The following is a 17040-nucleotide window of genomic DNA, read 5'->3' on the forward strand; positions in this document are numbered from 1 at the left end:
TACTTAATTTACATTTTTATTTTAGTCACCTCATGTGGCTAGTGGCTGCCATGTTGGTCAGTTCAGGCAAAGCCTAGATGGCAGCCAGAAACCCTTGGTGAGGGGACGCCAAGGTGTCAGGCACAAGAAGGAAATCCAGGAACTCTCTGGCCACAACTGTTTTGTTAACAGATGTCTTAAAGAATCACAAATATTCTAATGCTGGGGGTTCCCTCCCCCTGGTATGTGGGAATGTATATTTTGGGGGAGAGGGCAGGAAAGAAGACAATTCCACTTTCCTCACCAGGATGCCCCCAGTGAATTCTCAGTAGATTTTAATTCCTTATTGTTGTTAAAAATCATTTTGGGCATTTGGTTTTCTCTTCTTGTGTTACTTTGCTGAGAATGATGGTTTCCAGTTTCATCCATGTCCCTGCAAAGGACATAAACTCATCCTTTTTTATGGGTGCATAGTATTCCATGTATACCTATGTAACAAACCTGCACGTTGTGCACATGTACCCCAGAACTTAAAGTATGATAATTAAAAAAAATGATTTTGGGGAGAAGATAGTTTATACCTATGCAATGTGACAGCACCATGACAACACATCTTTCAAATGCTCGATTTTAGTATGTGCAGAAACTAAAATGTGATTTTAAGTCACATTGTAGCTTGAGTGTTTAATTAAGAAAAAGGTTACCAAAATGGATGATTAAAGAATCTTGGATTTGGAGTTTATTTCATAAATGTGTCCATTACAAATTGTCATCTTAAGGAGCCACCCATATATCCTCAGAACACAGGTATGACATTGTGCCTTGCCTTTTGGAATGACTGACTTTGGATCAAGAGAGAAGGGGCAGCCAGAAAGGTGGTAGCAATGTTGATTCTAGCTCTCACTCTGGTCCTCCAAGGATCCTGGGTTTTTTTTTGGTTTTTTTTTTTTTTAAAAAAAAAAGAAAGAAAGAAAAAATTTCCTGATGATAGGAGGACATCAGTGAGCACCTTGGGTTCTAAGCATGTGACTACTGTCCTAGTACAAATTATTAGGCCCGGTATCATATTCTGGTTCTAAATATTTTCAGCAATGAAGGAAGACCCCCCCTCCTCTGCCAACTGCCCCCGCACCACCAGCATTGGTTGGGTGAATAATTCAATGGCTGCCAAAATTTGCAGAAAACAAAACTGAAACCTAATGAGGCTTGCTTGTGTTAAACCAATGTTTAAATGATAGTAATTAAGAGAGTTTTCATATAGAAAAGGCTTTGTTTAGATTGAAACGTTAAAAGCCACCACCAGAAACACGAGGGTCTCATGCATAAAGGATTCTCTTTTTGCTGTCTCAAGATCACACCAGCCAGTGTTGATTGGTGAATGCTAGCACAGTGCCCTGCCCTGGCGTTTGCTCTATGCCACCACTGCCCTGTGGAGTTCACCACAAAGAGTGCCTTGCACCAGGGCTATAGCCTCTCAGGCTGTCTGCAGACAGACACCAGGCCATCTGCCCTCTCGCCTTCCACCCAAACACAGCTGCTGGGCTCCATCCCAGCTTCAGCCATCTGGAGGAGGAACAAAGGCTCCCCTCTCCTCACCCTCCTCCTGGCTGCTGAAGGGGACTGGGGAATCTTGGCATATTCAGCCTCAGTGAAGAAAGGAAAATGGAAGAAGCAGCAAGATCTAGCTACTAGTGGCAGGCAGTTCTTCCTCTCTGGTTGACAGAGTCCCTGACACCCTTCATTCATTCCCCAAACATGGGTTGAGTGTCAAGTCCTGGACCAGGCTCAGGGGACTTGAGAATGAGACACAGCCCTTGGCCTCCAGAGGCTCACACTCTGGTCAGGGCAATGAATGTGTGCACAGCCAAGTCTACTGGAAAGGGATGCTCAACCCAGATGGAGGGAGTCAGAGCAGTTGTCCCACAGGAGGTGATATCAGGCCTAACATCTGAAAACAAGTCTGTACTATGTGCCAGAAAATCAAATGGGGAAAGGCTGGCCCATGTGGTGAGGTGAGAAGTAGGAACAGGAGGTGATGAAGAGAGCCAGATTCTAGAGGACATTGATGCCCAGCAGAAAACAAGTGGTAGGTAGTGCAAGGCTATGAGCGCAGGAGGCAGATCAGTGATTCCAGAACATTCTTCAGGTGATACAGAAGAGAAGGGCTTTGAGGCAATAAGATCAATTAAGAGTGTCACAGTAATCCAGAGGAGAAACACTGGTAGCTGAAAAAAGCTATGGTACAGACAAAGAGATGAATTTGAAAGAGAAATCTTTACTAAAACTCTTAGCTGTAAACTCTCCAGGCCAATTTGCAAGTAATTTTGACGCTCTCAGTAAGCCCTGCAAAGGACAAGCTCAAAACTACTCTTCAGTATGTCTGGACCCTCTTCTCAAACAGGAAAAAGTTTGACTGTAGGAATAGCTGTTGTCTGAATGGCCCCAAGAGCCACTGGGCAGCTACAGATGGGGTAACATGGCACTTAAGGCTACTCTCAAAAAGGATATGTGCAAGAGGTATCTGATTCTCTGAAATGGCCCAAATCCCAACTTACAGCATTTGCCTATGATACTCATTCCACTTGGGTCCTCAAAGCCATCAGGAGAGACTTCCTTCCAAAGACAGGTTGTTCAGCTCGTTGCAGTCAGCTCTTTGCTTTTGGCCTGACTAGGAGAAATGCCAGGGCAGTGAAGAGCAGCCTCAAGGGTCAAGAAGAATGTCAGCCACGACATCTTCCCTCCTCTCCTCTCCACAGGGGCAGATGCTGCCCACAGGCTCTGCATGCCAGAGGCCACTGGACTGCTAGTTTCTTTCTTCAATCAAAGGGAAAGAAGGCTGCTGTTGTTTGAATGTCTCTGTCTCCTCCAAAATTCATATAGAAACTTAATCCCCCAAAGCCATAGTATTAAGAGGTGGAGCATTTAGGAAGAGATTAGGTCATGAGGACTCTTCAGTTGTTAATGGAATTAAGGTCTTTATGAAAGGAAGCTTCACACAGTGTTCAGCCCTTTTTGCCTTTCCATCCCTTCTGCCCTGTGAGGACACAGTGTTCATTCCCTCCAGAGGATGTGGCATCAAGACACCATCTTAGAAGCAGAGACCAGACTCTCTGCAGACGTGGAACCTGCTGGCACTTGATTCTGGACTTCCAGCCTTCAAAACCATGGGAAATAAATATCTGCTGTTTATGAATTATCCAGTCTTGGGTATTTTGTTATAGCAGCAGGAACAAACTAAGGCAAACACAAAGGCCCCTTTTCTGTTCCAAAGCCCTTCATTCCTGGCCTTCTTACAGTGCCTGGAGCATGTATTTTCAAGAGCCCTCATGAAGAATCAGGAGCCAAAAAGCAGGGATGGAAACTGGCTCCTCTTGCAAAGGCAGGACCAAATGTTAGTGACAGTCTGATTTAAGATAGAAGAGGAAATGAAAGATGCCCCAGATCCATCCCTTAGATCCATGTCATGGACTCTACACTGGCTATTGGAGATAGGCTCTGGGGACTCACTTGAAATCTGAGTTTCTAATTATAAAAAAATGCTTTCAAAGCATTTTTCTATTTTCCTCTTTGCAGATTTGGCCATTTTTGAAACATGAGATGTGAAGAACTATAGTAGGTTGTAGATCTGGCAGCTAGATTAAAACATTCTTTAAGTCACTGAAAACACAAACCATTTTATTCTTTATTTTTTGGTGATTAATCAATTTCCATTCTGATGGATTACTTTTTACTTTAGCCACATAAAATTTTAAAACTACAACTGCTAAAAATAACCATGGGTAGATTTTCTTTTCCTTTTATTTAGCTTCTCAGGCCCTTGCATCATTGCTGCTTCTTCTAAGGAGGGTTTTTGTGTTTGGTAGATTTTTAAAATAAATGCTTTTCTGTTGCTTTAATTCTTGTGTTTTAAAATAGCTTTTGTTTTTAATGTTACCCTAAACTAGGCACTATACAAACAATACAGATAAGCTTGTTAATTAAGCTGATTCATAATTCCTTACATAAGGAAAACACATTGGCAGTTTAGAAGACATGATAAATTAATAGTATAACCTTCAAAATGATTTCTGAAGGGTCCAAGGATTACCACTTAGTGCATTCTTTAAGAAAAACATATTTCTATATTCAAGGGAGCAAAAGAGAGTATTTTTTGAATGTTAAATCTGTTCCTAAAATTCATGCTGCTTTTCATCCTCAATACATTGGTTTCAAGGACACTGAGCTTTGTAAAGTCCCTTCACTTTACTGGGCCTCAGTGTTCTCATCTGTGAGAGGAAGCAGGAGAAGAAAATGACATATAAGATCTTAGAAGTTTTAATGTTCTATAGTTTCCTCATCTAAAATGCTGTTTCATTCTGTGTAATATAATCCACACTCCTTGTTCCTATTTCGGTTCCTATGTGCCAAATGCCTGCACTCCTCAACATCCTTCCAAGCCCCTTGCTGTGGGGCTCTCTGTTACTGTGTTCCTTGAATCACACCCTTTCAGTCAGAGAGCTCTCAGCATAGTTTGCTGTCTAAGAACTCACATACTTTGGTTGGATGGACCAGCAGGACAAGTCACATGACTTCCCTTCACTTGTCTAGAAATTGCTCAGTCTAAAGATTTCTCAGCATTTCTTTCACTTCATTTATTCCAGATCCTTCAAATCCCACTTTGTTCTCATGTTCAGAATTTCAGCAGATGGTCTTCTCAAAGGAAAAATATGTTGTGATGTTCAACTCCCCTCCCTTATCCCTCACTTACCTATCCTTGAAATATTTTCCACATCCTACCCTCTTCTAAGCTTTTACATATATTTTCTCTTTTGAAGTACATTGACCCAATTTCTTATTCTTTCCTGCTTGAAATATAAATTCATCATTTCCTGGATTAAGGACTTAAACCTAAGACCTGAAGCTATAAAAATTCTAGAAGATAACATTGGAAAAACCCTTCTAGACATGGGCTTAAGCAAGGATTTCATGACCAAGATCCCAAAAGCAAGAACCCAAGAACAAAGATAAATAGCTGGGACCTAATTAAAGTAAAGAGCTTTTGCACGGCAAAAGGAATAGTCAGCAGAGTAAATAGACAACCCACAGTGGGAGAAGATCTTCACAATCTATACATCTGACAAAGGACTAATATCCAGAATCTACAACAAACTCAACCAAATCAGTAAGGAAAAAAAAAAAAAACAAACAATCCCTTAGCCCTTAGTGGGCTAAGGACATGAATAGACAATTCTCAAAAGAAGATATACAAATGGCCAACAAACAAATGAAAAAATGCTCAGCATCACTAATGATCAGGGAAATGCAAATCAAAACCATAATGCAATATCGCCTTACTCCTGCAAGAATGGCCATAATCAAAAAATCAAAAAACAGTAGATGTTGGCGTGGATGTGGTGAACAGGGAACACTTCTACACTGCTGGTGGGAATTTAAACTAGTATAGCCACTATGGAAAACAGCGGAGATTCCTTAAAGAACTAAAAGCAGAACTACCATTTGATCCCACAATCCTGCTATTGGTTATCTACCTAGAGGAAAAGAAGTCATTATTCGAAAAAGATACTTGGACACGCATGTTTATAGCAGCACAATTCACAATTGCAAAATCGTGGAACCAACCCAAATGCCCATCAATCAATAAGAAACTGTGATATATATATATATGATGGAATACTATGTAGCCATAAAGAGGAATGAATTAACAGCATTTGCATTGACTTGGATGAGATTGGAGACTATTATTCTAAGTGATGTAACTCAGGAATGGAAAACCAAACATCGTATGTTCTCACTGATATGTGGGAGCTAAGCTATTAGGATGCAAAGGCATAAGAATTATACAACGGACCTTGGGGACTTGAGGGGAAGAGTGGGAGGGGGGCGAGGGATAAAAGACTACAAATATGGTGCAGTGTATACATGGGTTATGGATGCACCAAAATCTCACAAATCACCACTAAAGAACTTACTCATGTAACCAAACACCACCTGTACCCCAGTAATTTACGGGAAAAAAACATACAGTTAGTGTTCCAGAAGTTATAAGTTCTAATGTTGGATAGCAGAATAGGGCAAAATAAATAACAAATTAATTCATCATTCCCAAGACAAACTCCGCAGGCAACACCATTCTGTACCTTGACAAATGCTGAGGTTTTAATCACAATAGTCTTCATTTTCCATTAAAAAAATAACAAAAAATGTTTTAGGAATTCCAAAATGTAGTTTCCTAGGACCAAAACATAGAAGCCCCAAATCAGGGTATTTTCAAGGAAGAGGAGTCCTTTGAGATGATTCAATGAAGTATCTCCATCTTACAGATGAGAAACTGACAGTCCAGAACTGTGAGGCTCAAATTCATGTCCCAAGTCATGGCAGAGTCAAAACCGGAAGCAGAGATAGCTGCCTGCCAGATGACAGTCATCTCTACCTCAGTTTCTTCTACTGTCAAGTGAAGAACTATAATGTGCAAAATGTAAGGCAACTGTAAAGTGAAGTACCCAGCTCACAAGAGTTTTGTGAAAAAAAAATGAGCTAATATGTGTAAGTTCTTACAACAGTGCTCAGCACAGAGTTAATGTTCCATAAATGTTCATTCCGCTTAGCAAATGTATTGAAACTCTATAGTATAGGAAAAGGATGTCCTATATTCTCATTGTGTGGATTTTGTCAAAACCATTGTATTTCTTTATTCTCTGACATTCCTGTTAGAAACCTGGAGGATAGGATTTGATCCAAAATAACTGTGATATTGGTAAATAAGTTCTCCAACATAAAATATAATGATAATAACTTAGAAATAAAAATAAAAGTGTCCCGGCATTAAAATGTGTTTGATAAGGCAGATGGCATTACCAAGGCCATAGGAAAATCTTTCATAATATGCTCTTTTTCTTCTTTGCCATATTTATCAACTTTCAGTTTTATAATTTTACTCCAAAAATACATACCAAGTTTTAAAATATTTCCCTCTAGTTTCATTCCTCAGTATTTTTCTGTTTCTTCTTTCCCATCATTATCCTCAGTTGAAAAACAGATTCAGGGCCTTCTAGAGTTAGAATATGGCCACATATTTGAAAGCACTAGCTTGTCTTTTCTATAACCCAACAACGCTATTTGTTCATCAAATATGTAACTCTCTTTTTAGTTATATGATTTGTTCCCTTATCCCTCTGATATTTTCATTCTTAAGAGGAGTAGACGGGATAGTGGTGAGAAATCTTCAAGGAAGAATGGCTTAAAATGAGAAGACTTTAAAACGTCTGTGTGTCAATACGCCTACGATGTAATGTTCATGGGAAATAAACAGCAAGGGCAGAGAGAGGTGAAAATACCTAAGTAATCAGCAAAGTGGTTAAAAATGTGGTATACATTTAGAATTCCCTTTCAAATTTGTGAGAATATTTTTAAAATGTGCAGCTATTTTACATGTGCATAATGGATACAGATGCCCTTAAGAACAACAGAATTTTGGATAAGTTTGGGTCTTATTGAAGTAATGCGCTGTACACGTATGTTTATTTTCCAGTTGATCATATAACCTGGGCATTTCTTCTGAACTTAGGAAAATGGAGAAAGCATTATGAATGTTATTCTTCCTTTGCTAAGAGGAGGTGTATGGAAGAGGGTAGGACAGTGTTTGAGAAAGGAAGTTTAACAGCATAGACAGACTGGATCAGGAGACTCCTTGCCAGTAAGGAAGAGCTGTGGGAGTTGGATGTCCACTGTGGCCAAAGCTTTGGGCCCTGACCTTTCACACCATGATCTTGTTCAGCCCTCACAGCAACCCTGCAAGGTAGTACCATGATTCACATTTCCAGATGAGGACACTGAGGGTGAGAGAACTTAAGCAAGCTATCCGAGATCATTCAGCTAGTCAAAGATACTCAGTGAAACGGGAAAGGTATAAAGAAAAAGGAAGAAGTATTGCCCAGGGTTAGCTGGTGGGGTGTGGGGGCAATTGTCCTTGACTCATAGTCAAGCTTGTTTGGGGTGAGGCAAGGGGCAGCTAAGGAACCAGGAGAGAGGCTGGTAGCTGAGATGGCACAAAGGAGTGATGGCTTTCCTACTGTTGCCTTAGCTCATAGAGGACAGGCAATTTCAAAAGCATGAAGGAGGTAGAGGTGGGGAAAACATAAAAATATATAGCATTTTTTATGATGTCTGATAGAGTACTCTGGCTATAACGAGGGTGACCATCCAGTGGTTTTCTGGGGGTCACTATCAGTAGATGAGCTAGAAGACTACAGGGATCCTTACAGTTCTCTTCTTGTGATCTTTGCTTTCTCAATGAGTCACTCATTCACTGCTAGGATGTGAGTTTGCTATTAATCTTGTACAAGCTGAGCTAAGCAACATGAATCATTCATTTAGACCAGATGAGCACCATCTTGCTAGAGAGGCAAAAGCCTGGCAGTGCATGATGGAGAAAAATAAGAGCTATAGTCCCACCCCCAAAATGGGAAGTTTCTTAGGAAGTAGGGAGACAGAGAATGCATGCAGACACATAGTCATCCAAACACATGAACACGTATACACCCACAGACACACCCACAGACACACACACACACACACACACACACGTACTTCTAGCACGAACATTTTAGCAGGAGCTAGGAGACACAATTTTTATTTTGGTTCTTATTCCAGGTTGGGTTCCTTGGGAAGCACTCTCTAAGATAAAAGTTAGTGTGTAAGAAGTTTATTGAGTAGTGCTCTTGCGATCAACACTGGGTGGGGGTTAGGGAGGAAAGCACAGGGAGAAGTCAAGCCACAAAGCAGGCCCACTGACTGCCTGATAGCCTCAGCCAACCCCACAGGGAGCTTGGGAGACAAAAAGGCCAATAAAGGTGTCCCTCATTAAGTCAAAATGTTGGGCCTTTATACTCTCAATCAGTTGTTGTATATGGGCTGCCCCAGGAAGCGCCTGATCCTGGGTGAGGCTACTCTCTGCAGCTGAGGCAAACCCTAACGAGGCTGACAGTTGAAAGTTGTCTGCCAACTGCCCTCCCAGTGGCAGAGCAATGATCTTTCTGCTTTAAGAGAGATCTGAGGGGCCTATCACTGAGGCCACCATGGATAGAATCCTACCTAACAAGTATGTACTTGTCTCTCTGAGTTTCAACTTTATCCCCTACAAAAGGCCTGGTTGGATTGGATAATCTCTAGGATTTCATTTACCTCTAAAACTCTAAATTTTAGAAATCAAACTAAGTTTTTATAGCCTGACTTCTACTTTGTCTTTAGCAAATGTAGAAAATAATCCCATATTTCATATATATATATATATAATTAAAATGGTATATACATGCATACATATAGCTGGAAAATCTTGTTCCTTTAGTCACACCAGGAGTTTGGCCAGAAAGCAAAAGCAAGAGGAAAAAAAAGTGGGAATGATTAGATAAGAATTCCATTCTTGGGGATCTCTAAAGAGCTACGAAGGTGGTCAATGTGTGTCTCTAGACTATAGAATATAAAAATAAGGTTGTTGTCTTAAGCTTTTAGATGTTCCACACTCTTCACCTAATAGTGATAATTCTCTCTCTCTCTGTCTCAAATTATGGTGATTTGGTCCAACTGTAGGAACATTAAGGGAAAAAAAGGTCCCCTTCTCATTTCTTCCTTTACCAGCCAGCCCACAGGATCTTCCACCTCCTCCCCAGCTAGATTTTTCAAGGCTCATGTGGGCATCTGCAGCGTGGAAACCAGATGGCAGTTTTCTTGAATCTGCTTGTTCTACTTTAAAAGCTTCTTTACAAAAAGCTCCCCAGAAGAGTATGTTGCAGGTAGGATCAGCATGAGAAAACAGCAGAATCAGGTCATCTGAGAATGAGGGATTCCCAAATACTAAGTAGATATGAAGGATAGCTAAGAGGCAAAACTCAGTGTGGGGACTTGAAAGAGTCTCTCACTGGGTAAAACAAGCAATATGGTGAAAAGTATCCCGGAAATAGATCTCAGGTTTTTATCTGAGTTGTAGAAATGGTCACCTGTTTGCAGATAAGAACTGATTGGTAGGGGAACATTTTGATGTCTAGCAGAGCTATTTGCTAAAGACTTTGGGAACATATCTTTGTTTCATGGTGAGAATCTCAGGATAAACCAATTCAGTTACTGGTTTTTGGTTGCTGAGAGAAGAAGGCTAGGGCGGGAAGGATACTGGAGGGAAAAAGAGATATTATAGGATTCTGGGGTGAGGAAAGACAAAGTGGTCCATTGGTTTTCAAATGCCAGTCTGCAGGCTGGAAACAAGCTGGCTGCTTCAGAATCTCTTGGGGTGGTAGTTAAAAATAAAGATTTCTAAAACCCAACCTCAGAAATCTTGATATAGCCACAAATTCTCCTACTTGATTCTGATACCCAGTTAGGTTTAGTAACTACAGGAGTAGTTAGAATGTAAAACTTAGAAAATTGGAATTCATCCATTATTCAAATATATGGTTATTAAGCATATTCTATGGAAAAGTGGCTCAGTTAAGTTCTGTGGGATTTATAAATATGTATAAGAAGACTGCCTCAAATCACTTTGAACATGAACAGAGAACTAGATAGGTAGGCAGATAGGCGGCAGACAGACAGAGATGTTCTCAAACACCAGTTTAGTTCAGTGGAATGGAGAGAAAAGAATGCAACTATGATGCCTGAGGAAAATAAGCAGATGTTTTAAACCCAGTAAGGAAAGGAGAGAGAGACAGCTTGGCAGATTTCCCAGCAATAGTTCTCAGTTCAGATGTCCAAAGGTTAGAGAAGACAAACATTAAATCAACCTTCTAAGTTTGTAGAAAAAATTCAATTAAAGCATGTAGTAGTACTTACCATAGTGTGTGGTAATGTCAATAAATGGTAGACATTGATCACTGTAGGAGATTTAAGAGGCTGTGGCTAGTACCTTTTTCAAAAATATTTTTATCTCCCTCCCTATCACGGTGCCTATAATTCCATATCATGAATGATTTTTGAAGTCTTTTCCAATTTCAAGTATTTTATTAAAGAAACAATTTTGAAAGGCTCATACCTTAAGCTTTTAGTGGTTAATCTAGAAAAACAGGGGACAGTGGCCAGATGAGAGAGCAGAAGTCAGAAAGGAGATAAGATGGTGTCAGAGGCTAACTTTCTTATATCCGATACCATTCTGTGAAGCCGCCCTCGTAAAAGTGGGGCAGCAGGCCACGGCTGGTTGTATGGCCCATGTGACCATTCAGACCCCTGTCCCTTCCACCTAGCGGTTTCTTCCTCACAGTGGCTGGAAGATGGGGAAAGTGACTAAGGAGACGGTACATCCGCTTCTTTTTTTTTTTTTTTTTTTTTTTTGAGACCGAGTCTCCCTCTGTCGCCCAGGCTGGACGGCAGTGGCGCGATCTCAGCTCACTACAACCTCCGCCCCCTGGGTTTAAGTGATTCTTCCGCCTCCCGGGTTCAAGCGATTCTTCCGCCTCCCGGGTTCAAGCGATTCTTCCGCCTCCTGGGTTCAAGCGATTCTTCCGCCTCCTGGGTTCAAGCGATTCTTCCGCCTCCTGGGTTCAAGCGATTCTTCCGCCTCCTGGGTTCAAGCGATTCTTCCGCCTCCTGGGTTCAAGCGATTCTTCCGCCTCCTGGGTTCAAGCGATTCTTCCGCCTCCTGGGTTCAAGCGATTCTTCCGCCTCCTGGGTTCAAGCGATTCTTCCGCCTCCTGGGTTCAAGCGATTCTTCCGCCTCCTGGGTTCAAGCGATTCTTCCGCCTCAGCCTCCCGAGTAGCTGGGACTACAGGCATGCGCCACCATGCCCGGCTACTTTTTGTATTTTTTGTAGAGACGGGGTTTCGCCATGTTGGCCAGGCTGGTCTCAAACTCCTGGCCTCAGATGATCCGCCCGCCTCGGCCTTCCAAAGTGCTGGGATTACAGGCGCGAGCCACCGTGTCCATCCACATCTGCTTCATAACCCTGTGGGTTTTTACAGAACTCTTCTGCTCACATTCCGTTGGTAAGAATCAGTCACATCGCCCAACTAGCCATAAGTGGGTATATGGATAGGGTAGGCTGGGAAATGTAGCCCCTGGCTGAGCAGGGGGAATCAGGATTCTTTTGAGCCCTGAGGACTCCTGAGACTGCGACAGTGCATTCATGAAGAGGCGTCAGAAACAGAGAGACAGAGTCTTGGCCAAGGACAGAAAGACTAGAGTCAAGAAACAGGTCAATGTATAGATGCGCCCCCCTACAAATAAATGAACTTTTTCAGGGATAGGAAAGGTGTTAAGTGGGGTGCAAGTCTGAGAGAAAGGGAAACATTTGGGCGGCTTATACGGGATGGAGAGAGGCCTCATGCTTAAAACAATAAAAAATGATGCTAGAAAAAGGTAAGAAGTCCGACGACGTGAGACTAATCTCCAGATGAAAATTTGCTTTCAGGGGTGTGACAAACATAGCTATTTGACTGCAAAAACCCATGTTCTTCCTAGCCAGTCAGCGGCTACATTTCCCAACCTCATCAACCTTTACGCATATATGGGCCAATTAATTGGTTCGCCCAATAAAATGTGAGCAGAAGAGCTTTGTAAATGGCCAAGTGGGTAAGAAGCAGATGTATTTCCCAGTCTCTTTCCCTAACTGCCCGCTACTGAGAGGACGAAGAGGAAGAGGAACCACAAGGTGGAAGGGGCCTGGGCCTCTGAACGTTCACATGGAAGGCCATACAATGTGTCTTGGACTCTGATGTGAATAGAAAATAAACCTTATTAAATCTCTGAGATTATAGGTGTATCTGTTTCAGCAGCTAGTTTTACTTAACACATGTGAAAGGCCAGAGGAGGCTTATGGGGAGCAAAGGAAATTCAAGAATCTAAATGATGACTCTTTTCAACTCCTCCCACCTATGAATACAGATCTTAGGCTAATAAATACAGACACCCCACCTACGTCTTAGGCAATCATCAAGGCAAGGTTAAAGAAAGTTTCCCTGTCTCTCGCCACTTCTACACTTAGCCTTAGGCTCCATACTTTTAGTGGTTTATTTATCTACCTCAAGGTCTCCATCTGTCATCTTTTAAATCACTTTTATTCTAGCTAAAAATGTTGGAGGATAGGAAGGACACTGGGTATTTATTCTAACTATTTTGGGGGACAGAAAGGTAAAGTAACAGAATCAGATAAACTGGTGAACATCTTAGTTGTAAAGAAAAGGGGGCGCTATTATAAGAAAACACTGTTCTATCTCTGAACTTTAGGTTTTCTAAGGGAGACTGCTCTGTAGTTTGGCTAGTACATTGATGGGTTTTAGATGGGCAAACCTGGGCTCAGAGAAGGATCTAGGAAGAGTTGAATTGAGTTATTCAGCATAAAAGTATGAAAAGAGTTGAAAAAAGGAAAAGAGATGAAAAGAGAGAGGTGACAGCAAGACTCTGAGATGCCAGAGGGGTCCACGGGATGGGGCATTATGGATGGTCTCAGTGATGGGGATGGAGACGAGACTGTTAAATCCAGGAAACATGAATGTTGAGCGTTAGACTGTCTGGTCACCTCTATGTAGCTCCCGCTGTCTACCCAAATTTTCAGTGGAGGTTTTCACATCAAAGACACCTTCTATGGGAGGTTTTTCAGGGGCACCTAAGGAAGGGCTACAGTTCCACAGACAAGTTGACAAACTGTGGAATGCAGACAGCATATACAGGCAGGAGAAGACCCATAAACAAAATGGATCCAGATGGAGCTTGGAATCACAGGACCATTCACTCCACAAACATTGAGCACCCAATATGTGCCTAGGACTATTCCAGAGCATGAGGACCATGCCTGGAACTAGATAGACAAAGTCCATGGGAACTCACAATCTAATGGAGTGACAGACAATAAATAACTGAACAGATAAATACATGAGAAAAATAAAGCAGAGGATATGGTGATGAATGGAGGCTCTGCTTGAGAATGAATGGTTGCCTTGCAGAGGCAACACTGAAGCCGAGACTATTCTCATTAGGAATTTACTATCAGCTTTGTGGGGGTGGAGGTGTAGGTTGGTCAGGAGCAGAGTGACCCCAGTACATGTGGATTACAGACCAATCATTTACTCATTTCTCCTGCTAATTCTCTTCCTTTTCCCTACGATGATGTAATGTTATTTTTTCAGTAAACAATAAAAAATGTATTGAGTCCTTCTTTGTATGCTAGGGGGAGATAGTTGCTACTCAGAAGGTTATAATCAAGGTTGTCGCTGAAGTGGGAGTTCATGGATTCCGCTTCCCTCCCGTCTCTAAGGAAAAGGCAGTGAACTGTAGGTTCGAAATCATTTGATCTCACGCTTGCCTAGAAGCAGAAGAATGAAGCTGACTAGAACACCCCTTAAGCCTCTTAGCTGTCCTGAGGGAAAGGAGCACTGCACCCTCCCCCAGAGTAAAGACATCGCGAATTAATTCCTGGGTGGTGGACGGCGACGTCCTTGTCCTGCGGGAAGTGCAAGGGCACCCGCTCAGGGTTGTGAGAAACTGCGGGGCCCACGCTGCTGGCGAGAGTCAAGAAGGAACGAAAAGAAGGAGCTCCATCTAGCGTTGTTACGAAACAAGACCAGCGGCATCCTGAACAGTTAGCTCCTTTCTGAAGGGCGAGTACCAAATGAAAAACGCACCTTATCTTCCGCCTAAAAATTTTACCGAAAAAGCCAGAGCCGCTGGGCTGTGGGAATTTAGCGCACAGTACAAGCCTGACATCACCTTTGTCTGGGAATGAACCCAGGAACGGAAAGAAGACTAAATTATCTTAAGGTCTTGCTTATCAGTAACTACACATGAAATGTTTCCTCCTAGGACAGGAGCGCAGGCTTCTTTGTTGTTATAAAATCATGATCTGGGGACTTGACAACGTCCAGAGCAATCTGGGGAGGCCCATAAATGGGATCCTGTATATTATGACTTTGGGGACATTTGTGCAAGTATTTGTAATTGATGGGTCATAGGGTTCACATACCTTCAACTTCAGTAAACAATGACTAACTGCTTTCCAAGGGAAATATAACAGTTTACACTCTCATCAAGACTATGAGGGTTCCCTTTGCTCCTTATCATCTGCAAAAGTTAGTATTGTCAGCCAGTTTCATTTTTGTCATTCTGATGGGTGGGGTCAGGATACTTCATGGTGTTTTAGTTGGCATTTTCTTAGTTACTAGTGAAGTCAAGCACTTCCCATATGTTTCTTGTCTATGTAGATATCCTCTTTTGAGAATTATTTATTCAAGTCTGTTGGCCAATTTCCCAAGGTCTGCCTTTTTCTTAGTTATTTGTACTTATTCTTTATATATTCTGGTTAAGAGGCCTTTATTAGTTACATATGTTGAGATATAGTCCTTCAGTCAAGGCTTGTTTTTCATTTGTTTAATTGGTGTCTCTTTAGGAACAGAGGTTCTTAATTTTTATGAAACTCAATTTATAACTCTTATGATTTTTGTTTTGTATCTTATTTAAAAAATATTTCCCTACCCTGAGGGAAGACATTGTCCTATATTACCTCTCAAATCTTTATTGTTTTGCATTTTGCATTTAGGCCTAGTCTCCTGGAATTGACATTTTATTAGACAGAAGGTAGTGGTCAAGTTTTATTTTTCCTATTTGGGTTTCCAATTGTCCCAGGTTTATTTGTTGGAAAGACACTCCTCTTCCCACTGTTCTACAGTACCACCCTTGTCATCAATCGTGTTCATTTGTGTGTGAGTTTGAGAATGATCTACTCTGTTCCATTGTTCTACCTTGCCTGAATATAAAACTGTCCAAGTAACCTACAGATTCAATGCAATCCCTATCAAGATTCCAGTGTCATTTTTCATAGAAATAGAAAAAAATACTAAACTTCATATGGAACCACAAAAACCTGAATAGCAGAGGCAATTATGAGCAAAAAGAACAAAGCTGGAGGCACTACACTATCTGATTTCAAACCATACTAAAAAGCTACAATAACTAAAACAGCATGGTACTGGCAAAAAACTAGACACATAGACTAATGGAGCAGAATAGAGAGCCCAGAAATTATCTCTCACATCTACGGTCAATTGATTTTTGGCAAAGGTGCCAAGAATTCACAATGGAGAAAGCCTAGTCTCTTCAATAAATGGTGTTTAGAAAACTGAATATCCACATGCAGAAGAATGAAATCGGACCCTTATCTCACACCATATACAAAAAGTCACCTCAAATGGATTAAAGACTTAAAAGTAAGACCAGAAACTGTAAAACTCCTAGAAGAAAACATAGGGGAAAACCTACATGACATTAATCTGGTCAATGAGTTTTTCATTTAACCCCAAAAGCATAGGCAGCAATAGCAAAAATAGACAAATGGGATTGCATCAAACTAAAAAGCTCTGCACAGCAAAGGAAATAACCTACAGATTGAGAGAAAATATTTGCAAGCCATACATCTGATAAAAGGTTAATATCCAAAATATTTAAGAAACTTGGACAACTCCACAGCAAGAAAAAAACAGTTAAAAAATTGGGAAACAACTTATATACATAACTCTCAAAAGAAAACATACAAATAGCTAACAGATACATGAAAAAATGTTCAACATTACTAAATCATTAGAGAAATACAAATTAAAACCTCAGATCTCACACCCGTCAGCATGGCTATTATAAAAAAGACAAAGGGTAAGTTGGCAAGGATGTGGAGAAAAGGGAACATTTGTACACTATTAGTGGGAATGTAAATTAGTACAGCCATTATTGATAACTGTATGGAGGTTTCTCAAAAAACTAAAAATGGAATTACTGTATGACCCAGCAATGTCACCTATAGGTATTTACCCAAAAGATTTGTCAAAGAGATGTCTAGACTCCCATTTATTGTAGCACTATTATGTAGCACAAGTTATGGAGGCAACCTAAGTGTCCATCAACAGGTGAATGAATATAGAAAATGCGGTATATATAAATAATAGACTACTACTCAGCCTTTAAGAAGAAGAAAATTGTGGAATCTAAACAATCAAATTCATAGAAGCAGAGAGTAGAATGGTGGATGGGGGGGTGGGGCAAATGGGGAGATGATGGTCAAAGGAAACAAAACCTCAGTTAGATGAGAGGAGTAAGGTTTT

At 41.1% G+C, this 17040-nt stretch overlaps 1 annotated feature.

Annotated features, from left to right (window-relative positions):
* Positions 10508-10802: a silencer, noted in NCBI's record as "tiled region #11247; K562 Repressive non-DNase unmatched - State 22:ReprW". NCBI's record gives its function as "represses a minimal TATA promoter and a strong SV40 promoter by Sharpr-MPRA in K562 cells {active_cell/tissue: K562}" and the evidence as "EXISTENCE:reporter gene assay evidence [ECO:0000049][PMID:27701403]".

The sequence above is a fragment of the Homo sapiens genome, chromosome 3, assembly GCF_000001405.40.
Source record: "Homo sapiens chromosome 3, GRCh38.p14 Primary Assembly".
In the NCBI taxonomy this organism is placed as follows: Eukaryota; Metazoa; Chordata; class Mammalia; order Primates; family Hominidae; genus Homo; species Homo sapiens.